This window comes from Homo sapiens, chromosome 5 (genome assembly GCF_000001405.40).
Source record: "Homo sapiens chromosome 5, GRCh38.p14 Primary Assembly".
Classification (NCBI taxonomy): Eukaryota; Metazoa; Chordata; class Mammalia; order Primates; family Hominidae; genus Homo; species Homo sapiens.
The window spans coordinates 74,816,500-74,841,950 of NC_000005.10; the positions used below are offsets into that span (position 1 = coordinate 74,816,500).

Below are 25,451 nucleotides of genomic sequence, written 5' to 3' on the forward strand. Positions count from 1 at the left end.
CTTTTTACTTGCCATGTACATGTTCCTTTCAGAAAATCAGAAAATCATACTGGTTCTCTTCCTTCACCTACACTTTACATATTAATACTTCTGCTCTCCAGGGTCTGACTCATACAAATGCAATCAAATAAAGAGCAGAAAAACTTTCCATATTATCAGGGACTTTTAAGATTCACCAAAAGCTGTGGATTTACCTAGTAAAGCAAAAACTATAACCTGCTGTCTTAGGTAAAGTTTTCATTAAATTTACTAGCTCAGATTACATTTAATTTAGCATTGCACATGTCAGATTGTTTATATTCCTCAAAATTCCACATTTTTCTATGTGCTCTGAGTATTGTTATTCACCCCCCAAGACTTCTGCCATTTATCCAAATGCTGATGACTACTAATGTCTATCTTTAACCTCTATAAAGCATGAGACTTCAAAATCAAGAATGAAAGAGCTCATCTGAATGTAAATAAAACAAAATCTACTTAATCATCTCAATAGCTGGAGAAAAAGCATTTGACAAAACCCAACCTTTCATGATAAAAATACTCAACTTCCTCAACCTAATACAGGGCATCTACAAAAAAACCACAATTAACATGATAATGGTGAACCACTGGATATTTCCTCCTAAGATCAGGAAAAAGACAAGGATATTTACTCTCACCACTTGCATTCGACATTGTACTAGAGGATCTAGCTAGAATAATTAGGCAAGAAAAAGAAAGAAAAGGCATTCAAGATCAGGAAGCTAAATGCAAAACAGTCTCTATTTGCAGGTAACATGATCTTACATATAGAAAATCCTAAGGAATCCACTTAAAAAACAAAACTATTAAAACTATTAAGTTCAGCAAGGTTGCAGGATACAAGATCAATATATAAAAATCATTTGTATTTCCACACATTAGCAATGAACAATCCAAAAAATGGAATTAAGAAAACCATTCATAATAGCATCAAAAAAAATAAATTTAACAACAGACATACAAAACTTGTACAATAGAGATTACAAACATTGTTAAAAGAAATTAGAGAACACCTAAAAAAAATGGAAAGACATCTCATGTTCATGGATCTAAAAACTTAATATGCTAAGATGTCCATATTTCCCAATACAACCTAAAGACTCAAAATCCTAGCGAATTGTTTTGCAAAAAATTGTCAAGTTCATCCCAAACACACAGGAAAATAAGGAGCCCAAATAGCCAAAATAATCTTGACAAAGAACTTGTCAAGACTGATTCACACTTCCAAATTTCAACTTACTACAAAGCTAGAGTAATCAGGACAGTATGTTACTGGCATGGGAACACATACACAGATCGAAGAAATAGAACTGAGGGTCCAGAAATAAACTTTCGTATTTATGGTCAATTGATTTTCAACAGGGTGCCAAGACAATTCTATGGAGGAAAATTATATATTTAACGAATGCTGCTAGTACAACTAGATATCCAAATGCAAAATAATGATGTCAGGTACCTTCCTAGAATCATATACAAATTTTAACTGCAAATGGATTCTAAACCTAAACATAAGATCTAAAACTACTCAAATTCTTAAAAGAAAACATAGGTGCAAGCCTTTGTCACCTTGGGTTAGGCAGAGCCTTCTTAGATATAACACCAAAAGCACAAGTGACAAAAGAAAAAGTAGATAAATTAGACCTCATCAAAATTAAAAACTTCTGGGCTTCAAAGAACATCATCGAGAAAGTAAGACAACTCACAGAATGGGAGAAAACATTTCCAAAGTATGTATCTGACAAGGGTCTTGTATCTAACACATATGAAGGGCTCTTACAACTCAAAAAGAAAAAAAAGACAACCCAGCCTGAAACTAGATTAGTGGTTTCAAGGGACTGTGGGGTAAAGGAAATGGGAAGTGATTGCCAATTAGTACAGGGATTCTTTCTGAGGTGATGAAAATGTTCAGGAATTAGATAGTGGTGATAGCTGTATAAATATATGAATATACTAAAAGTTACTGAATTCTACACCATAAAAAAGTTAAGTCTATGGTCTATGAATTATAACCGGATGAATCTCAAAATGTGCTGAAAGAACCCAGACCCCGCCCCCCCCACCCAACTGCCAAAAAGAGTATATACTGTATGTCCTTATTTATATAAAATCCTAGAAAAAGCAAACTCATCTACACTAATAGGCAGCAAAGTGTTTCCTCGGGAACAAATGGGAGAGAGGAATAGATTACAAAAGGGCAAAGACAAGATTACAGATACGTTTATTATCTTGATTGTGGTGACGGTTTCACAGCTCTCTCTCTCTCTCTCTCTCTCTCTCTCTCTCTATATATATATATATATATATGTCAAAGCACAATTTTCAACTTTAAATATGGGCAGGTTTTCGTATGTCAGTTATATCACAATAAGGCTGGGAAAAATGTTTTTAAAACAACCCAATTAAAAATGACAAACGATGGCTAGGCGCGGAGGCTCACGCCTGTAACCTCAACACTTTGGGAGGCCAAGGTGGGCGGATCACCTGTGGTCAGGAGTTCAAGACCGGCGTGGCCAACATGGCAAAACCCGTCTCCACTAAAAATACAAAAATTAGCTGGGCGTGGTGGCACACACCTATAACCCCAGCTACTCAAGAGGCTGAGGCAGGAGAATCACTTGAACCCAGGAGGCAGAGGTTGCAGCGAGCTGAGATTGCACCACTGCACTCCAGCCTGGGTGACAGAGCAAAACTCGTCTCAAAGAAAAAAAAAAAAAAGGCAAATTATTTGAAATATTTCTATTCAAAGAAGATACACAAATGGCCAATAAGCACGCAAAAAGATGCTCAACATTCTTAGCCACCAGGAAAATGCAAATCAAAATTACAATGGCACGGCTACTTCGTATCTGCTAGGTGAACTATAATCAACAGGACAAATAGCAAGTGTTGGCTAAGATGTGGAGAAACTGCAACCCTCACACATTGCTGGTGGGAATGTAACATGGTACAGTCTCTATGGAAGACAGTTTGGCAGTTTCTCAAAAGGCGAAACGGAGTTACCATATGACCCAGCAATTCCACAACTACATACACACTCCAGGAGACTTGAAGACATGTCCAAACAACAACTTGTATACAATTGTTCATATCAGCATTGTTCAAAATAGCAACAATGACAAAAAACAGAAACAACCCCAAACTGTTATTTATCAACTGATAACAAAACTGGTGTATCTATACAAGGTAATACTATTTGGTCATAAAAAGGAATAAGGTGCTGATACATGCTACCATATGAATAAAACTTAAAAATGTTATGCTAAACAAAAGACGCCAGACACAAAAAGTCACATATTATTCATATAAAATAGATTAGTGGTTGTTGAGGGCTGGGGCCTAGGAGTGAGGAGGAAATGGGGAGAGACTGCTAATGAACAGAGTTTCTTTAGCGGAGGGATGAAAATTATCTAAAATTAGCTGTGGTAATGGTTTCATAATTCTGTGAATGTATTTTTAAAAACTGAATTGTATCCTTTTTTTTTTTTTTTTTTTTGAGGCAGAGTCTCATTCTGTTGCCCAGGCTGGAGTGCACTGGGCCGTCTTGGCTCAATGCAACCTCCACCTCCTGGGTTCAAGCAATTCTCATGCCTCAGCCTCCCTAGTAGCTGGGATTACAGGTATGCAGCACCACACACAGTTAATTTTTTGTATTTTTAGTAGAGATGGGGTTTCACTGTGTTGGCCAGGCTGGCCTCAAACTCCTAACCTCAGGTGATCCACCCACCTCAGCCTCCCAAAGTGTTGGGATTACAGGCATTAGCCACCGCACCCAGCCTGAATTGTATATTTTAAATGGGTGAATTGTATGGTATATGAATATCTCAGGTAGTTGTTAAAAATGTAAAAACAAAATATCAACTTACAAGTGACTCCAATAAACCATTTATAACCAGATTTTGCAGACAGCCCCAAAACCTACTCTACCTAGTTTACCAATTTTTTAGTAAACCTCGCCCCTACTCGCCCACTCTAGGAACTCATGTTTGACTCTTCCTTCACAGCCCACGTACAATCCATCAGAAATCCTGCAGGAATCACTTCATAACTAATCTCAAACATGATCACTTCTTACCACCTCTACCCCATCTCCCTTGTCTAAGCTACTGTCACCTCTCACCAGGGCTTCTACAACAGCCTCTTAGCTAGCTGAACTCAACCCTGCCATCTCTGCAGCACCCAGAACCCCTGCACCCAGTTTCCCACAGAGCAGCCAGATTTGCCTTTTTAAAAGACAAACCAGATGTTACTCCTATACCCAAAACCCTTCAATAGTTTCCCATCACCTGCAGAAAAAAATTCAAATTCTTTCTTTGGCCTAAAAAACCTTTCAGGATACAGTCCCTGCCTCTCTCCTAATCCATATCAATCACTATACTCTGGCCACACTGCTCTTACTATTTCTGAAGTATCCCAAACTTGTTTCTGCCTCAGGGCTTCTGCATTTTCAGCTCTTTGCCTGAAAATTTCTTCTCCTGATCTCACTATTCCATCACTTCATTCAGAGAGACTTCCCCTAACTATTCCGTTTAAAATAGTACCTGCTGTCCCACACGTTCTATTCTTTTAATTTACTTTGGTTGTCTTCACATCATCTGACAGCATATCATCTACTTGTCCATTCATTGCTATGTCTCCTTCTAAAATCTAAGTTCTAAGAGGACAGAGCTTATAAAATATCTATGACTATCTCTCAATTTCTTCCTCTTGCTCTTTCTCACACTTCCCCCGCCTCCCTTTCCCTATCTATATGCACTTAAGATCAACTTTTTAATAAATGAATAAATTTCAGCGACACCATTCAGGTCTATGTATTGAATTCAAGAACAGATATTCTGCCACAACTGAGCAGCTGCTTCTTCTCATAGAATCACCATTCATTCTTTGTCCACCCAGGAATATGCCTTCTCTCCCCTTAAAACTTAACACCTCATGAAGCCATCAGTGTGTGACTGTCTCCATTGAAGACATACATAAAGTGAATTTCAGATTCAGATTATCAGATTCAGATTATTCAGAAATTCAGATTATCCTCAGATGAGCGAACCTGTCATATACCACTAGGTATTCTCATTACAGTCTTCATGCTCTATAAATTAGTTAAGGCAATGCTAGCTGCCGTAACAAACCAAACCTGGAATGTTTAACATAATAAAAGTTCCTTTTTTGTTCAAATTAACAGTTACACGTTCCTGGGAAGTGGATGGTTTCCTCCTCACAATCATGAAGGAACTGTTTCAGTTACCTACTGCTGCCTAAAAACCAGCCCAAAACATATTGGCTTAGAACTAAAATTTATTTCCTATTTATCACAACTCTCATAGGGCATCAGCTAGGGCACTGGGATGGCAGAAGATCCAATGGCCTCACTCCTACAGTGGGACAGTCTGTAGTGGCTGCAGGTGGAAGAAACAGCTGGTCTTGTCAGCCAGAGCCTCAGTTCTCTTCAATGGAGCTGCTGGGGTCTCTTCACCTCAGAGTAGTCTCCAGGTCGTTGTATTTCTTACATGGTGACTAGCTTCTAAGAGTGCCAAAGTGGAACCTGCCAGCCTTCTTAAGGCTGAGCACAGTGTTATGCATTCTCCTGGTTAAAGCAAGTTATAGGGCCAGCCCAGATTCAAACAGGCTACACAAGGATGTAAATACTGGGAAGTGTGGTCCACCAGGGCCACCAAGTTCCTTTTATCCTGTGGCTTCCTCATCCCTTACATCTTCAAAGTCCTCTGTATAGATGAGGAAAAGGAATGCATCTTAACCACTTTGACGCAAAGTCACAGGCATCATCTTTTTCATTATTTTGTAAAGAACTAGTCACACAGCCCCATGTAGTTGTAACAGTGACTGGAAAATAGAATCCCTGACTGGGCAGCTCTGGCCAATGACTAGAATATAGAAAATGAACCACAAATATTTTATGGACAGCTAGCAGCCTCAGCTAACTTTCCTCTTATCTCTCAGCAGATCAACATTTCCTTGTTAACTCTCAGGTCATCAGTGGTCACATCTCAGGAGACACTACCTTTTGCCAGAATACTCCCTCCAGTAATGTTTGGTTACTTTAGGCTGTTTTCAGTGTCATTTCCTCATACCAATATTCACAAATACACTCACTTTATACAACAGTTTTGACTGATCTCATCCACGCTGTAAAATTACTTTAAGTATTCTGGGGCCCACATAAATATCCATACCTCTTCCATGTGCTCCAACTTACATTTCTATGTTATGTCTACTTACATATGCCTTAGGGACACATATGCCCATGTCAAAATTGAACTAAAGTATTATCAAACTACTCCTCTTCTTCTATTCCCAATCTTAATTAACAGCCTCCCACCAATACCTAAGCACCCAAGCCAAAGCCATTCAGATTCATCACTAGTTCCTCCACTCCCCGCCTACACACTATGGAGTTACCACACTCTGTCCACCTGAAACTCTCCCTCAGATGTTCCCTTCTCCACTCCTACTGGTGCTTTCCTAGTTCTGGTCCTTCATTCACCTGAACTACTAAAACAGCTCTTTTAATTGACTTCCCTGACTTTAAAATACAATTTTCCAAGTGCTCCAAACAGTATGTCCCTAAAATATTTAATCATGTTACTTCTACATAAAATTATTTGATAGCTTCCTGGCCAATAAAATGCCACACTTCTTTGTAGGACAATTAAGATCCTTTGCAATGGGACCTCCATCTTCACTTCTCCTACTTGTTAGTCCCACCACCTTATTCAGGATGTAGTTCCAAATATGCCCTAAACTTTCATGACTCTCTGCCTTCTGCATATATTTATATTCCATTCATGTTTACCAAGAATGTTCTTTCCCTTCCCCCTTCTCTTACTGACAAACTACTTACCCTTCAAAACTACTTTTAAATATCACTTTCCCAGTCACACCTCCCTCCAGGCAAAGTTAACTACTTGCTTTCAAAGACTGCCATTGTTGATACCTCAAATGTATTACTTACAAAACTGAATTTTGATTATCTAATAATACAGCTTATCGACTATGATGTTGTGGGTTTTACTGTCTCATCCACTAGATTTTTGGTGCTTTGAGAACTGAACCCATGACAAATCATCTTTGTGTTTCCACTAAAGTCAACTCTATCTCTCGAATAAACAGAACCCTTATTGGCAAGCAAGTGGTTTTTCAGATAGCTAGAACTTCACCTCAACAAAGCAGCCATCTCGTTTCCCAATGATACATTTCAGGTAGCCACAGAGTAGTACGGGACTCTCACATGCCTTTGCACATTTCCCAAAGACAAGAATCACACCTAGACAGACTCAAGTCCTTAAAATATAATCACACTCTCCCAACAAAAAATTCAGCTGGGTTTCACTTTTAGCTATACTATCAATCCTTATAATTTTACATCACAATGTTTGTTATTCCTTAAAATAACCTTAAAAGGCCCAGAAATCTGAATTTTAGTGAACAGGAAGTGAGTAATCTGTCCAAAAAAGTAGGGAAGATCATGGATATAGCCCCTAGTAAAAGGTCTGGAAGCCACAAGGAAAGCTGACGAGTAAATGTGGACAAGAAAAAATGCTTCCATTACAAATCACCTCAAATGAAGATTACAAAAACCAGAAATACACTTCCTGGTATTGGTCACAAATCCCTTCAGTAGTGGGCTAAACTGACTTATAGTAGTTGTTGACTAGATTGTTCTTCCCCAAAATATTAAGTCTTCAAATTGGATCAAGGCAATTGACAGTTGAAGCCAAATAACAATGAGTACTTCAAAAATAGCGACTAATGATAGTGACCTCAATTGTGTTCTCTGAGCTTATCTACACTAAAATACGGTATGCTATTTACACAAATTTGCATCTTTATATACTTCTTGATATAGGCCAAAAGTCACAAAACTTCCACTGAATTAACCAGTGATTTGTTTTGTATTATTTTAGTAACTGTATGAGACTTTTTCATTAATCTTCTAATTAGCACAGCCCTTTAACAGATAGTCCTTATCATTCCAGGCTGAGAAGGATTTATAAAGTTCAGCTAGTTTTGTGGTAGATAGTGATTACACTTTGGACATGGCCTCATTTTTTTAAATGTATACTTCTTGTTTTTAATCAAAGTCATCCATAACATTGTTTAGAATACAATAGTCATATAAGACTTAAGAAAAAAAAAAAGCAGCTCTGTGACCACTTTCCTGATACACACACATACACACACACACACACACACATACACACACACAAACACACTTTCTACACCCCAAAAGCAACCATTTTGAAGTCATTTAGCTGATATTTTCGGTATTTACTTCTACTTCTCTAAGTAACTTACTATACCTCTTGATTTCTATTTCTTCATTTTTCCATTTTAGGCATAGATAGCTAGAACTTGGAAGGTGAGAATTTAGCTCTTAAATACATTCACACACCCCAATCTCAACTCCAACATAAACACACTTCCCATACAAAAAACCCCAACACCCCTAAATAGTAATTTGTGATTTGTTAGATCAATTTTCAGTATTTACATTATGACTATATAAATGCTTTTGACAACTGAGCCATATAGTGTACCATGAATGTTTATTTTTATCTTTATTCTTACACTTTTTGATTTCCCTTAATAATATTTATTACTATCTCTCTCATCCTCCAAAGTCTCCAGTAACTATGTAAATCTTATCCCAATAAATTCAAATACATCAGGTATTCTATGAACTCTATCTTCTTAAATCAACGTCCCAGAGCTTTGTGATCTGCTCCAATCTAGATCAGTCAATCTTTAGAAAAAGAAATGTCCAAAAGATCATTCTGCAATGATGGAAAAGTTCTGTATCTACTCTGTCCAATGCAGTAGCCACTAGTCACATGTGGCCATTGAGCTCTTAAAATGTGGCCAGCATGACTGAGAAACTGAATTTTAAAATTTAACTTCAACAGCCACATAAAGCTAGTGGTTTTAACAAAGAGCAGCTCCACAACTGACATAGCTGTGATGTTGGATCTCCTTTCTTTTCTCTCTTAGTTTCCTAATCCCATCTTTCCTTCTTGATTTTCTTTATCTTAGGAGAGCACAAACTCTACTCACTTCCAGAAAAGGGGTATATAAAAGGTAAATTGTTTTAAGACTGACAGTCTAGAAATTTCCTTCTTTCACTCTCACTCTTTATTAATTTGACGGGGCACAGAACACACTGGAAATCACTTTACCCTTGGTATCTTAAAGGCATTATTCCACTTCTAGTATTCATGTTGCTGTTGAGAACTCTAGTAACGTTTTGATTCTTGATCTTTTGTCTAAATCATTCTCTCACTTTATGGAGGCTTTCAAAATCTTTTCTCTATTCCAGATGCTCTGAAATTTCACAATAATCTTGGTATGAGTGTATCTTAATTCATTGTGATGGATGCTCAATGGGCCCTTTTAATCTGGAAATGTGTGTTCTACAGTTCTGAGAAATGTTAGTGAATTATTTTATTGGTGATTTTTTCTCCTCCAATTTGTTCTCTCCTCCTGAAACATGTATTATTTAAATAATCCCTCTAATTTTATCATCTCTTCCTATTTACCATCATTTAGGTTTGTTTTTTGTTGTTTCTGCACTCCTTTCTGATCAACCTCCTCCAACTCTATTGGATTTGTTTTAGTTTCTAAGAGCTCTGTGAACATTCTTGTTCTTATTTCATAAATGCAATGACTAACTTTTCCAAAAATTTTAAGGGCCACATTTTTTGCATTGTCTTCTCCTCCAAATCTCTTTTACTCTCTTTTGCTTTAATCACCATTTTTCACATCAGTGGCCTTCCTTACCTATGACTATCTGTTCATAATTAAGAATGAGATATTAAAAAGCTAATTAGAAGCTCTGTGTGTATGGTGGGGCTTGCTGGCAATGGACCTCACAGCAGGATGATATGGCTGGAGCCTTTCCTAGGGGAACCATTTATATTGGTATTTTTAGTTTCTTTTTTCTTTTGGCCTAGTCAAACTCCTCAAAGGAGACGTTTTTGCTCATGTAGCCATAAAATAATTTTGAAATACCATATATTCACACATCCTTGTGATATCTAAAAATTTTCATCTAAGTTTCAATCAATAATTACAGAAGATGTTATTTCTGACATATTGTTGACTTTTAAAAAACTATTTTAAAAACAATTGTAGACTTATAGAAAAGTCACAAAAACATTACAAAGAGCTCCCATATACCCTTCACCCTAATGTTAACATCCTATATAGCCAAAATACTATTATCAAAACCAGGAAATTAACATTGCTATAATACTGTTAGCTAAACTACAGACTTTATTCAAATTTCACACATTATTCCACTAATGTTCTTTTCTGTTTCAGAATCCAATCCAGAATTCCTTCCTGCATTTAGTTTAATATATCCCTAAACTCTGGTCTTCGATAATTCCTCCATCTCCCCTTGTCACTCATAACCTTGACACTATGGCTGATTGTCAGTTACTTTATAGAATAACTCTCCTAATTTGGCTTTGTCTAATGGTTTCTCATGAATGAACTGAGATCATAAATTTTGGGCAAAAATGCTACAGAATGATACTGTGCCCTTCTCAGTACATCATATATCATGGGATACATGATGTTGATATGTCTTATTACTAGTGATGTTAACCATAATCTGTTGGTTAACATGGTACCTGCCAGGTTTCTCTGTGTAAATTTACCATTTTTCCCTTTGCAGTTAATAAATAACATTGACTTAAAGAAAAACAAAACTATTACACCCTTCTTTTATATGTATCAAATGGACTCTAGAAACTATAATCAATCTGGTAACTGTTACCATCCATTGAACAAACTATTCCTTAACAGTTTTACACTGCTCCTTCTTCTCCTTGCACTAATATTTCTATGATATTTATTCCACAGAATGTTATCCTGATGTAATATTTTTATGCATGGAAGTTTACTGATTATCCAATCATTTTTCTCTACAAGAATATATTTGTATATAAATTCTAAAAATATCTTGTGATCCTAATGTTCTAAGTATTGATCCAAAAGAAATTTGGAATTATTATAATTATTATATTAGTATACAACAAATCAAAACACATATATCGGGAAAACTAATTACTAAGCAAAATAAAACCAAATATTATTTTAAATACAACTGTTAATGAAATAGATGGAGCTTATCTTTTTTTTTTTTTTTGAGATGGAGTGTCTGTCACCCAGGCTGGAGTGCAATGGTGCAATCTCGGTTCACTGCAACCTCCACCTCCCGGGTTAAAGCGATTCTCCCACCTCAGCCTCCTGAGTAGCTGGAATTACAGGAACCCGCCATCATGCCCGGCTAATTTTTGTATTTTTTTTTGTACAGACGGAGTTTCACCATGTCGTCTAGGCTCATCTTGAACTCCTGACCTCGGGTGATCTGCCCACCTTGGCCTCCCAAAGTGCTGGAATTACAGAAGGGAGCCACCATGCCTGGCCTGGAGTGTATCATTTTTTAATTAGTTTATGAGTTCATGAATTACTTACTACCAGAATGAGACAAAGTTCAGCATTAATCCTATTCCTATTTTTTATTTTTATAGATATAAGTGCTTAAGAACCTTGTTCAAATAAGAAGGAACCAGAAAACCCTTCGTTATAGCAATGTAAGTGTCCTTAGTTATGTGCCACATATCACACAGTGATCTATTATAAAAAATTATCTTTAATAATCTGGCATTATTAAACACAACTCAAATCCTCTTTCATTTTTGTTGAAAACAAATAGAAACCACCTGACTTACAAAAGAATATCATCTAATTATATCCAGTCACTTTTACACTACTACAAAACTATTTAGAGGCCTCTCCCTGCCTTCTTTTTTCTTTTTTTAAAGTGGGACTTCCAGACCTTTTTACAACTCCAGATTAGCAAGATAAAGGTTAGATGAAAGATATACCTTCATTTTGTAAAATGGGAGAAGGAAGATAATTTATTCCCTAACACAAATGTTGCCACCATACCTGAAAGTCTCCATGTGCCCCCAGGAGCAGGTCTTTTCCCAGAGCAAGGCTGGGGTAACTGTCCAGCTGTGCTGCATTAGGGAAGGAACTTTCAGCCAATCCTTTTCTAAGGCTCCACCTCCCAGAAGTAGCTAGTGTTATAATGACTGAACTTTTTAAAGGTTCTAAAATATAAATGTGGTGCTTCCTGCCTTGGGCAATGGCATCTTAGGATTCAGTTACTACATAATCTACCCTTTTCCCAGATTATAAAGTTTTGTTGCTGTTACACTCTCCTCTTACTCACTTCGTCATGTGGGATTTATGCTGTTTAAAAATGTCTTTGGTGTCATTCTGGTGGTGTTTGCAAGAGAGAGTAGAGGCTGAGGCACGTGTTCAACCCACCCTCTTTAACCAAAGCATTAGCACTATAGCCACACCCTGCCTACCACTAGCAATATAAACTCCTCAACATGCCATCCAAATTTTCACTACAAAATTCTGAGAAAAGTTTGCAAGAGTACATGTATGACTTATACAGACTTTGAATACAAAGTTCTACGCCTGAGGTCAATGAATTTTGAACGGTGTCCTGAATAAACTAAAAATATTACATAACTTAGTATAGCAATTATTGTAAAACTCAGTATAGAACAATTTTTTCTTCTTTTACGCTCCCTTCTGTGTCATAAAAAGGCTTTCTCTGCAGTTTTCATCCTTTTATAAACTATTTTTGCAGGTAAGTTTTTGTTACACATGAAGTACTCAAACGGAACGACTATAAAATATCTGATTTTGCAACCATGAACATTTTCTATTATCTTTCATCAAGTGCTTTCCTTTAAGTCTTTAGTGCCATGCCATAAGATAAAGGTATTTGTGGATTTAGCATCTATGGTTTCTTGTGAATGCAAGTCACCACGCAGGTCCAAGATAGGCAATAATTTGTCATTTTCCTATGACACAGATCTAATCTCTATTTGTTGCTAAGCCCGTGTTTTATGAATTAAGTTATATAAACACAGGTACAAAGAAAAGTAATAGCAAGATTTCCTTCCTTAAATAGAAAACTAAAATACTTGAGAGGCTGAGGCAGGTGGATCAATTGAGCCTAGGAGGTTGAGGTTGTAGTGAGCCATGATTGCGCAACTGCACTCCAGCCTGGGCAACAGAGCAAGACCCTAGCTCAAAAAAATAATTAAACGACCCTTTACAAGAAGCCCGACAGGCGTGGTGACTCACGCCTATAATCCCAGCACTTTGGGAGCCCAAGACAGGTGGATCATCTGAGGTCAGGAGATCGAGACCAGCTTGACCAACATGGTGAAACCCCATCTCTATGAAAAATACAAAATTAGCCGGGCGTAATGGCACGTGCCTGTAACCCCAGCTACTCAGAAGGCTGAGGCAAGAGAATCGCTTGAACCCAGGAGGCAGAGGTTGAAGTTAGCCGAGGTCGTGCCACTGTACTCCAGCCAGCCTGGTGACAGAGTGAGACTCCATCTCAAAAAAAAAGAAATATGGGGAATAAAATACAGATCACTTAATGATTTATTCCCTAAGGTGGTAGCATTTTGAATGTTCTACCAAAAGTAATTACTGTATCAACTTTGTTAATCTAATGGTCATTAGGAAAAAGTAAACAGCACAATATTAGAAAAATTAAATAATTCCATTTACCTAGATAAGAATCCCCCTCACACAACAACATAAAAAGAGAGGAAAGAGAAGCCCTTGATGATGGGGAACTTGCAACTTGACTTAAGATTACAGATTACTATAAAACTACCTATAATATAGGAAAAGAAAGAAGTAAACTATAACTCTTCAATGTCGAACATGATGTGCTCAATAAATACCTTTTATTACTAGTCATGATCTGTTGCTACAAGCCTAAAAAACTGACAAGGATAATGAAAACCAAACTTGATAAGTAGAGGGACTGTTAACTATGGATCCTGTGAAGATGTGCTCTAATCCCACTAAGCAATAATGACAACTACAGAAAAAAATACTAACTATCCCAGTGGATTGTGGGGAAGGTGCCAATAGACACAGGAGATTATGAGAAATACAATGCAACGGGTGTTTACTATTAGGAACTATCATTAAATAATTCCTAGCCTTAGAAATGTTATTCAAAAAAACTGCATATATCCCAGTTCACTATAGATCATGTACCTGTCACCATGACTATACATCACATATCTATTTTTTTTTAAACAGGGAATACATAATTTTTACAGTCTGTATTTAAGGAATAACAAGATAATGCCCAAACTTGAAACTATAATGTCTGAAAATTAACCTACTAAGAATAAATCATAAAAGCATTTGACCCAAAATATTGATATATAAATGAGTAGCTGAAGAGTTTTGCATTTTCATAATTTCGCCTATTGAGAAATAATCTTTATTCCTATATAGCATAATGTCTCAGGGTCATACACTGGGGCTTTGATGACAAAACACTACCTGCATTTACTCTTATTGAATCTTCTCTTCTCAAGACTCCAAGAAATAAATCTTCCTTTACTATCTATCATAGTCTTTCAACTTAACAACCTTTCTCTTAAATTCAACTTTTCTTTTGAAAGCCAGACCTGAGACCAAGGATTTCTGCCCACAGACAGTCCCCACTTCTAACCACAGAATTCAGAAAACTTTAGAGCCAAAAGAAGTCTCAACGATCATCTGTGGTCAAGCCTAATTCCCTTATTTAAAGGAGAAAAGTAAAAGCCAAAAAAAGACTGCTACACAACTTACAAGTTAATAGCAATACTATAACAAAACCCAAAATCTCTTTGATACTAATGCTTGATTTTGTCTTACGATAATTTCTGAGTTGTACAGTAGACTAAATAGCGAAGTTTCTAAAGAATAGATTGACTTGTCTGAAAAAGCTGTCCCAATTATTTCATTAATAATTTCTTCAAACTCAAACTCATCAGCAGTCTTGAGGTATGCAAATGAAAAAGAATAGAGAGTAACTAAGGTACAGATTGAATAACCCTTACCCAAAATGCTGAGAACCAGAAGTGACTGGATTTCAGATTTTGGGGGGAATGTTGGAATATTTGCATTTTCCTTTCTTGTTGGGCAACCCTAATCCAAACATCCAAAATCTGAAATGCCCCAACAAGCATTTCCTTTGAGGGTCTTGTTGGCGCTCAGAATGTTTCAAATTTTGGAGCATTTTGGATTTCAAATTTTCAGATTAGAGATATTCAATCTGTGTATTTTCAAATTTCTTATGAATCCTTTCACTGTCCTCGACTTGTGAGGAGTGTGGTATACGTCAAGTTATAAATCATTTTGCTTTGTTCTGCTTCCTCCCTAGAGCTTAAGCACAGATTTGAACCAGCCATCATAACTAAAAACATTATGAGACACGGACAGATCTCAAGAATTAACCATGACTTGAAATCAGTAACAATACCTTCAATCTCACTCAATGTTCTTTTTCAAAAATATTTGATGAAAGAATCAATTACGTTAAGTAAACAACTGTTGGTCAAGGAAGTAAAAACTTATTTTACCAATAAATTAAGATAAATTCAGGAACCACAAGCAACTATTTTCTGAAGCTTTCCTTCAACTGCAAAATAAACACTAATTTAAAAATTTTTTTTACTTCATTTGAAAGACTAGGTTTGAAACATTTGGTGCTTTTGCAGAATTGTTTGAAAATATAAAACATCATATAAATAATGAGAAAAAATGAAACACACCTTAAAGAAATGAGCTCACTACATTAAAATAACAGTAGAAAAAAACAACCAAAAAAACACAAATATCTTTATAAGAAAACTATCTACCTAACCCAAAAAACAAACAAACTGTAAGTCTCTCACAGTGATCTATTTCAGGCAAAGAAGAATTTACATAGTTTCTTGAATTTCATTGTACTGTAAGAGAATTTGACCTCATAAACAAAGTCTCCTTTTTCTATCAAGGCTATTCTATGTCCTAATAGCCCCATAAACTTATTTGCTATTTTAAAAATCATAAATAATAAATGATTTCACAAGACTTTCACTCAACTACAAATCTTCTTAATAAAGATTTTATCTTTTTGCTACTAGTGTAGAAAAAAATATTACATACATATCAGTATATATATGAAATATGTTTATATAAATACATACGTTGTATGTTTATATACTTTATATATATAAATATAACATTTATTTATATATATATACACACACATATCAGAAATACTTCCATCACAAGGTGTTTAGTATTTGTTCTGGACAATTTCTCTAAAATATTTAAATTATGTTTAGGTTTCCTTTGTAGAAAAAACACTTCCAGCCTGAATTAAATGGCTACTGATTCAAAGGCTAGTATAAGCCCACTTAACTCCATTGTTATCTGGTACAACGGGGAAAGAACTAAAATAGTAAAGATGTAAGACAATTAGAGATATATGGAAGGGACTAAAAGTGGCAGATACAGTAGCACCTGGAAACTCAATGCTATAAAATAGTTAACTACCAGAACAAGCAGAAATAGAGGCTAGGTGCCAGAGAAGGAGCCTCAACATGCATAATAAGAAGAGCACACTCCTGCAGTTAAATACTGATCAGAAACACTAAATAGGAAGGCTGTGCCTTTGTGTGTCTTTCATAGAAAGAAGCCCTCAATACAAAAGTATAAACTAGTTATGCTCCAAATGTCTATCAGGTAGGAAACTCCCCTGGAGCCAGTATTAGAAACAAAAAGCCTCCAATTCCCACAGGAATTGCCTTATATAAAATAAATCACAAAGCAATTAATTCACACCCCAACTGCAAACATTAAAACATTTAAAAACAACAAAGTGATGTCTTCTCTGCAATGCACACTAAATTTCCATTGAAAACTCTTTCTCCTCATGTATAATCAGTATTTTTCTGAAGTTACAAAAGTTACTGGTTCTATTTCAAATTTATACAAGAACAGAGACAATAAAGGGCACCCAAAGTATTTACCTAAAGAAAAACCATTTTAAACTGCACATCAGTTTTTTATTCTTGGGAAAAAATGACCTTCCTTTTATGGACTATACGCACTAATTCTCATCACAAATGTGTACTAATTATGGGATCAAGGTATCAGTCACAACTGTTCATTAGATCAGCAGTGAATTTGGTAGGATCTTTAGACTGGATGTGACCAGAAGAACTAAGTTTGGAAAATCTGAAATGGAAATAAAAAGAAACTAAGTGTATTCTCTGTGAAAGGTCTTTTGGTCAAGGTACAAAACAAGGCAGACTTTGTTCTTTGATGGTCACAAGGTGTGGATTGTATGTGTACACAGAGTAAGTAGGTTAGAGCTTCCTGGCTCCAGCTGCTCTAGGGAGCTGAATGAATGGGAGTACAGGTAAAGCAGGTATGAGGTTGCACTATTTTTTAAGGATAGGGTATAGCTGGCTCTTACGATCAGAAACCCAAACTTTAGACTAACAATTTCAAAGCTGTTTGTATTTACTAAATATATTAAAGCATTTTGTTTTTCTTGGTAATTAGCCAAGTTGCTCTTTCATATGTCAGGCTGAATGAGGTGTGCTATGCATAAACAGGCTATGCATTTGGGCCACAGGTAGACTGGGGTTTTAGAAGGAACCTGTAACAGTAACAGCAACAGGAATCAAAGTAAACAACAACTTTTGGAAATGTGAGGGCTAGAAGATAGACAAATATGAGGTTCAACGTACAACTGTGTCTCCATATATATGGAGAAATCTTCTTCGGGATCAAATGTTTATTTTTATTTTGTTTTTTCAAAACACTTTCCCAACAATCCTCACTGTCATAGGATGGTAGAATCAAAGTACTCCCAAGAAATACTAATTAAAATCACCTCAATTTGCATGCTAGAGATTAATTTAACAGAGATATTGATACAGTTGGAGGGGTCTAAAATAGAGATTTCCATAATACACAGTTTAAATAACTTTTAAAGACTCACCTGTAGGCTTAACTGAATAAAACCCAATGGCCTCTCCTTTCTTCCACAGAATCTTAGCATAATCAGTACTGCTATGACACAGGAATGGGATCTCATTTCTCTCCATTTCCTGTTTTCTATAAATAATTCGATTCAGAACATACAGAACCACTCTCTCCCCAAGAGTGCTCACCTACAAAGAGAGTCAAACACCAGGCACAGCAGTTATAATATGCATCAATCACAAGATGCTATTTACTTTGCTCCCTGCTCCCATACCTCATACTGGAATTCAAAGCACTTCAAATGCATTCAAAAAAATTTGCAAAACATTTTATTACCACAGAGATGAGACTAATCATTCACATAGATTACAATCCATTTCCACACACACATATTATGCATAGAATACTGCCTTTCAACAAAATTCTAAATCGGGCAAAAAACAGGTCCCCAATGTACCAATCCCGAGCATGTCTTTCAGCACTCACCATCTTCTTTCTGCTTCCAGCTGCCCAGATCCAGGGTCTTACCAACCCTAATCACAGCCCTCACTATAGTAAACTACTTCAACTGCTTTTCAGTCTCCACATTTAAAAAAAAAAAAAAAAAGGCAGCTTAGTGTTATCCCCTGAACACTTTAAGAACAATTACATCATTTGGTGAGGGAAGCCATAATTACACTCTTGGGAAAGAAATGTGTCTCATCTTTTCCTGGTAAAATGTTCATTTAATAGCCCTATCTTTGCTGTCAACAAAGACGGGGATACCAAAGAAGTCTAATAAAAACATACTTAGGGCAGTAATAGAACAGAAACAGAGTCTCACTTCCTACACACAGGGCTACATGGTCACAGGGACCGCACCAACACTCAGAACTTTCTGATATCAAATAGTGAGGTGTTCCTGATACACAGGCCAGTACGGGGACTCATGCCTGTAATCCCAGCACTTTGGGAAGCTGAGGTGGGTGGATCGCTTGAGCTCAGTTTGAGACCAGCCTGGGCAACATGGCAAAACCCACCCGTCTCTACAAAAAATACAAACATTAGCCAGGTATGGCTGAGCACACCTGTAGTCCCAGCTATTCAGGACGCTAAAGGGGGAAGATCACTTGAGCGCAAGAGGTTGAGGTTGCAGTGAGCTGTGACTGCACCACCGCACTCCAGCCTGGGCGACAGAGTGAGACTGTGTCTCAAAAAAAAAAAAAAAAAAAAAAAAATCTGTACATAAGCCTATATTCCCCCAGGTCTCTTAAAACAAGTTCAGGCTCTAATTAGTTCAGTGGATAGAGAAAAGATTGACCATATACATATACTACTCTCAAAAATATCCCTGGCAGGGGATCTCACATAACAAACATAGGAAATAGCAGCCGACTAGCAATAGCTTCCAAGACAACCCATTCCTTCCTTGAACCCACAGTTCTGACCAACAACAATTCTTCCTTATTCAGAGCTGAAATCTATTTCTCAAAGACTATATTTTGATATTCTGCAGCCACATAGCCTATAAATATTTGAAGATAGAGCCATGATGTTCCCCTAAATTTCACAGCAATGTTAAACATGGTTATAAATGAAGGAAAAGGCTAATCTAACACAATTTGGGGTACTCTTGCCATTTCAGTGCTCTCTCTTGAAATTGCTCCAGATCCATAACATCTCTCTTCATGTTCGGGATGTGGATTTCATGAAGATATTTTGAAGGTGCTGCTGAGACAATGGGGCTTTTCTATATAAACAAAGTTTTTATTAGCTTTTTTGCTTATCTGGATTTTACTGCTAATTAATTAAAGCCCAATACTTTTTCATACGTACTGTTGTTTCAGTTTGGTGTTCATGGTGTACAGTTAATTTTTTGAACCTATAGGTATTACATTTCTCCCTATTTAATTTTATTATGTTAGATCTTTCTCTTTGTTTTTTAATTCTGCCCTTCACAGATTAGCTCCTCCATTCAGCACAGTGACATGCAGAATTGATAAGCATGCCTCTAAGTCACTGACAAAATGAAGGACACAATGGACAAAGTCTTGCAGCATACTACTGAGGACCTCCCGTCCATATAATTGAGCATCAGTTTCCAGGTACAGAGAGGTTTATAAAAATAAAGTCAACTTGCTCCAAGTTAAGTGTTTGTTAAGTACAAAAAGGGTTACACCCTTCTGTAACTTTACCAACCAATTTTTCCTTACTGGCCAGGATTTGACTGGAATAGCAGTCCCCCTTCACTGATTTCTCTATTTAAGAGGGAACGTAGGCCAGGAGTGGTGGCTCACACCTGTAATCCCAGCACTGTGGGAGGCCAAGGCAGGTGGATCACTTGTGGTCAAGAGTTCGAAACCAGCCTGGCCAACATGGCGAAACCGCATCTCTACTAAAAATACAAAAATTAGCTGGGCAAGGTGGCACACACCTGTAGTCCCAGCTACTCGGGAGGCTAAGGCAGGAGAATTGCTTGAACCCGGGAGGCAGAGGTTGCAGTGAGCCGAGATCATGCCACTGCACTCCAGCCTGGGCGTCAGTAAGCCTGTGTCAAAAAAAAAAAAAAAGAGAGGGAATGTTGTCCCTAAGGTAACTAAGGCTGAAAGAGTCCACATAGTTGTAGTCTTATTTTTGGTTTTGACTCCTCCTCTTTTCCCAATCCATATCTGGAGGTTTCATAGTTTCTCCACTTGAACAGCAAAAGCTACAATATACCATCATATTAAGATTTTCCCTTCTCCTTCTCCATCCTTTAGCCTTCATATCTATAATATGCCAAACCTCAGTCATGTTAAAACACATCAGAATGCTTATTTTCTTGACATACATACTTCTTTTCACTATCAGAACTGTTCCTGAGAACATATTATACTCCTTTATTGCTATCTACTCCTCCAATTTTACAGCTTTATGCAGGGATATAATTCCCTCCTCCCCTTCAGTTTCTGTTCAAAGTTTCATATCAGACTGGCAGATAACCAGGTACACACATTCTCCGAGCCTTCAGCAGATGGGCCTACCACTTTGGGAATCTTAAGGCACACTGAAGAATTAATGCAATATCCAAAAGTTACTAATACTTAATAATACTAAGTGCATTATTCTCTTATCCTCCCATCTCTTTCAAAGTTCCCAACTCAAAGGGAAGAAATAAAAACACCCTAGTAACCCGCAAGTTTCTTCAGTTTCTTTTTTTCCTGCTGCCACTGCCCCTTTAAGCAAGCATCAAGTTTTGTTTTTCTGTGAATTGGAGTAACAGGATCAAAATTTCTTGATATGCTTTCCTTGTTTCTTCTGACTGGTTCAACTGCCCACAAAAAAAATGAACAGTAGCTGGAACCCTGCGAATCTGACAAGTTTTTACAGAGTTGGCCTATCCTAGAAGTGTTCTAAAGGAAGAATATCAAGACACATATATATTTCTGTTAAATTCATTCTCCTGTTGGCTGGGCGTGGTGGCTTATGTCTGTAATCCTAGCACTTTGGGAGGCTGAGGCGGGTGGATCACTTGAAGTCGGGAGTTCGAGACCAGCCTGACCAACATGGAGAAACATCGTCGCTACTAAAAATACAAAATTAGCCGGGCATGGTGGCGTATGTCTGTAATCCCAGCTACTCGGGAGACAGAGGCAGGAGAATCGCTTGAACCCAGGAAGCTGAGGTTGTGGTGAGCAGAGATAGCACCCCACTCCAGCCTAGGCGACAAGAGCGAAACTCCATCCCAAAAAAAAAAAAAAAAAAAAAAATTCATGATCCTCATTAAGGCTCTCTTTCTTTTAGGATTAACAAGACACTCTATACTTAATTAATGAATAGTACTGCTTCTCCAAAAAGTCAGTATTCTTTTTAGGTAAGCAAAGTCTAATGCACTTCTACCAAGTCAGTTTCCTATTTCTCCAATATTATTATAAATCTCACTCTTCCAGCCACCAAAGATTTCATCTTTTTTTATTATGCCCTGCCTCCTCAAATATGTTACATCTTGGTTTCTATAGATTTTCCATATCCTGTCCTATTTATCCTCCAATAACTAGAGCACCAGAGATGTCTCTTAAACCCTTTCATCTCTAGCATGAAAACCAGCTTCCTTCCTGCAACGTTCTTCAGCTGGCTGCCTTCTACTATAACCCTGCCGAGGTTGGAAGCTTGCTCTCTCCTGAACCTGGTCATTCCACTGTTAGGAACACTATATAGACCACCTGAAGAGGCCCTACTAATAAACAAGTTTCCTGGTCAGTCTCTCCTAGAGACAGAAGCTAAACAATCACACAAAGGGAACTAGCTTTTCCTCTATCAAATAAGAAAATCAGAAGCTAACTTGGATAAAGGTAGCCAAAGCTCAACTAACCCATAGGTATTCATTCTTCCTCACCCAATCTCAGATACTTATAGAATCACATAAAAATGGAGGAAGCCCAACCCGAATGCTGGCTTCATCGTAAGAATGAAATTCTAGGGTTTAATATAACCTGATTATTTTTAAATGGGGAAGAGCTCAAAAACTATCACTGTTTACAGGAAACACTGTGAAATGGCCTCAAAAGAAACACTCAAAATTAGAGGATCTTGTTACCTGCTTAAGCCCCTCTCTTGAAGGAACAGATGTTTTCACAATATCATCAATAGCCCACCACTGATCAGCAAGGTAAAGTGCCACAGCTAAAATAGAATAAATAATCATTAACACTTGAGTTTTAAAGTACACTTTTAGACTTAATAAGGCCATATTGTACTATAAAGTATCCATATACTTTATATTTAAGAGTATCTATATAAACCTTACCAAATAGTAATATTGTACTTTGTAGCCTCATTTATACCATTTTTATTTCACTGATATGGTTTGGCTACATCCCCACCCAAATCTCATCTTGAACTGTAATCCCCACAATTCCTACATGTAGAGGGAGGGACCTGGTGAGAGGTGATTCGATCATGGGTCAGGGTGGGGGGGTCCCATTATCACAAGATCTGATGGTTTCATAATGTTTGACTGTTCCTCCTTCACACACGTGCGCACACACTCTCTCTTGCCTGCAACCATGTAAGACGTGCCTGCTTCCCCTTCTGCCATGATTGCAAGTTTCCTGGTGGCCTCCCCAGCCATGCGGAACTGTGAGTCAATTTTTAATTTTTTTTTTTTTTTTTTTGAGATGGAGTTTCACTCTTATTGTCCAGGCTAGAGTGCAATGGTGTGATCTCAGCTGACTACAACCTCCACCTCCTGGGTTCAAGCGATTCTCCTGCCTCAACCTCCAAAGTAGCTGGGATTACAGGCATGTGCCACCACGCCCAGCTAATTTTGTATTTTTAGTAGAGACAGGGTTTCACCATGTTGGTCAGGCTGGTCTCAAACTTCTGACCTCAGGTGATCCACCCACCTCGACCTCCCAAAGTGCTAGGATTACAGGCATGAGCCACCGTGCCTGGCTATGAGAGTCAATTAAATCTCTTTCTATTATAAATTACCCAGTCTCAAGAAGTTCTTTATAGCAGTGTGATAGCAGACATTCATCCATCAAACATGTAGCTATAAGCAATTAAGAATTACATTTTAATAAAATTACAATTTGAAACACTTTAAAAAAAAAACCAAATTCCTTCATGTAGCTACCTTTTAAATAAATTTCTAACAGTTTGGAGAAAAATTCCTTAATTTATAAAAATTAAGCAAAAAGAGACCTGTCAGTGAATCTTCAGGTGCAAAGAGAGCAAGAATTTTCTGGGTCTGATCTCCACCATAAAGAGGTACAAAGCCTACATTTGACAGGCTAATAGGAATCTGAAATGACAAATTAATAAAGATTAGTGAACAGTCTGTTAAGAAAATACATTAAAAAAATCAATCTTTTATCAAAGTAGTAAATATTTCCTACGTTAATTTTAATTTATTTTATAGGAGACATTATTTCTAGTCTCTAAAAAAAGAGTAAATCAGATAGACTTCCCTTTTGGAATAATTTTATTGTCTTAGGGAAAATATGAAAAGTTGTTTCATAAATATTATTATGTATCTAGCCACACATCTGAATAAAAACCAAAGCTATAATATGGCCCATAAAGTCATTTAAAAAACAACTATAATTTATCATCTGTTATTTAGCCTACTTGAGGAAGATATTCCATTATCTAGTTAAAAAAAAAAAAAAAAAGCAGGCCGGGCACAGTGGCTCACACCTGTAATCCCAGCACTCTGGGGAGGCCAAGGCGGGCGGATCACAAGGTCAGGAGATCGAGACCATCCTGGCTAACACAGTGAAACCCCATCTTTACTAAAAATATCAAAAATTAGCCGGGCATGGTGGTGGGCGCCTGTAGTCCTAGCTACTCGGGAGGCTAAGGCAGGAGAATGGCGTGAACCCAGGAGGCAGAGGTTGCAGTGAGCCAAGATCGTGCCAATGCACTCCAACCTGGGCGACAGACCGAGACTCCATCTCAAAAAAAAAACAAAAAAAAAAGCAGTCAAGTAAATTAATTTTTCTGGGAAGATACATGCTACTAATATGCTTTAACATTTTTTTGCCTTCATTTAATCCAACACTTATTCCCTATTTAGAGATAACATTACAATTCAGAGAATTATAAAAATATTGGTGCTGGGGAAGACTTTAAAAAATTCTTTAAGTCACCTCCAGAAGAAAAATCTAAGGCCTAGAGAGGTTAAGGAATTTGTCCACCACAGTTCACAGTGAAACCCTAATGGTTCCAAGTCTAATGATCTATCACAAAATATTATAATTTACTGACTAGAAAATTTGATTTTACTTTTTTAGAAAAAGGAAGAAAAGATTCATGGCACAAAAAATATGTAATTTAGTGTTTTGCTGATTTTTTAATTAAAAAATTTTCTAAACTCACAAATTCCAAATCTAAAGTAAATCTGAAGCAGCTCAAATATAGTAAACAGTCTTAGCAAAACTGGTGGTATTCTCACATATAATTTTAAAGCCATAAAGTCAAATAGCAATAACCTGTGGAGTTTCTCTTTTTAAAAACTGATCAACCAATATTTATCCATTTTACTGAATAGATTTCTGTAAAGATTTCAAAAATTAATGATTAACACTTAAAATGATTTTTTTAAAAAAGGATATTTATTTCATGTATAAACTGAACTGAAAAGATTGATGACAATCACTGCAGAACACCTTACCGTAATATTGAGAAGAGAAAAACACTCTGGATTTTCAGGGTCCCCACACCTTAAATCTGACATGTAATCTTCAGCAGAATTTTCCAATTCCTCATGGCTGCAATTTTCCAGCATATCCACAGGGAATGCCATCCTCTTTAACAAACAACATGGAACAAACAATTCAGAATATGAAACGCCATCTTCCTTTACTCACAGAAAATAAATTTTACTACAATGTTGCCATATTTTGTTATAACAAGATTTTTCTGTTTCACTTTGCCCGCAGAATACAACTTGAACCTGCTGATTTAACCATGCATGTCAAAAAGAAAACTTTCAAACATTATTCATTTGTATTAAAAACAGGCAATGAAATAAATTAACAGATACGTCCTTACATAATAAATATGGTCACATAGGCATA

At 36.9% G+C, this 25,451-nt stretch overlaps 1 protein-coding gene across 15 annotated transcripts in view, besides 1 other annotated feature; it reads right to left on the bottom strand.

Moving 5' to 3' along the window:
* FAM169A (family with sequence similarity 169 member A) overlaps positions 1-25,451 on the bottom strand; it is an 89,393-nt gene that overhangs the window by 38,926 nt on the left and 25,016 nt on the right. For 10 of the 15 annotated variants that reach the window (NR_164754.1, XM_047417083.1, NM_015566.3 and 7 more), the window contains exons 2-5: positions 25,046-25,180; positions 23,575-23,674; positions 22,466-22,551; positions 17,927-18,098 (exon numbers count right to left, since the gene is read on the bottom strand). The exons of 1 other annotated variant lie outside the window; for it this stretch is intronic. Coding sequence is in view for 11 of the 14 variants with exons in the window: in XM_047417083.1 (XP_047273039.1) it covers positions 17,927-18,098; positions 22,466-22,551; positions 23,575-23,674; positions 25,046-25,180 (493 nt within the window). In the remaining 3 variants the exon portion in view is untranslated. Of the gene's footprint in view, positions 1-17,926; positions 18,099-22,465; positions 22,552-23,574; positions 23,675-25,045; positions 25,181-25,451 lie in introns of those variants that run through there. 4 more of the 15 variants (NR_046462.1, NR_164753.1, NM_001376053.1 and 1 more) reach the window with 3 other exon arrangements.
* Positions 112-855: an enhancer, noted in NCBI's record as "OCT4-NANOG hESC enhancer chr5:74112436-74113179 (GRCh37/hg19 assembly coordinates)". NCBI's record gives its function as "activates a minimal SCP1, AML or CMV promoter by ChIP-STARR-seq in naive H9 embryonic stem cells {active_cell/tissue: H9 hESC(naive)}" and the evidence as "EXISTENCE:reporter gene assay evidence [ECO:0000049][PMID:30033119]".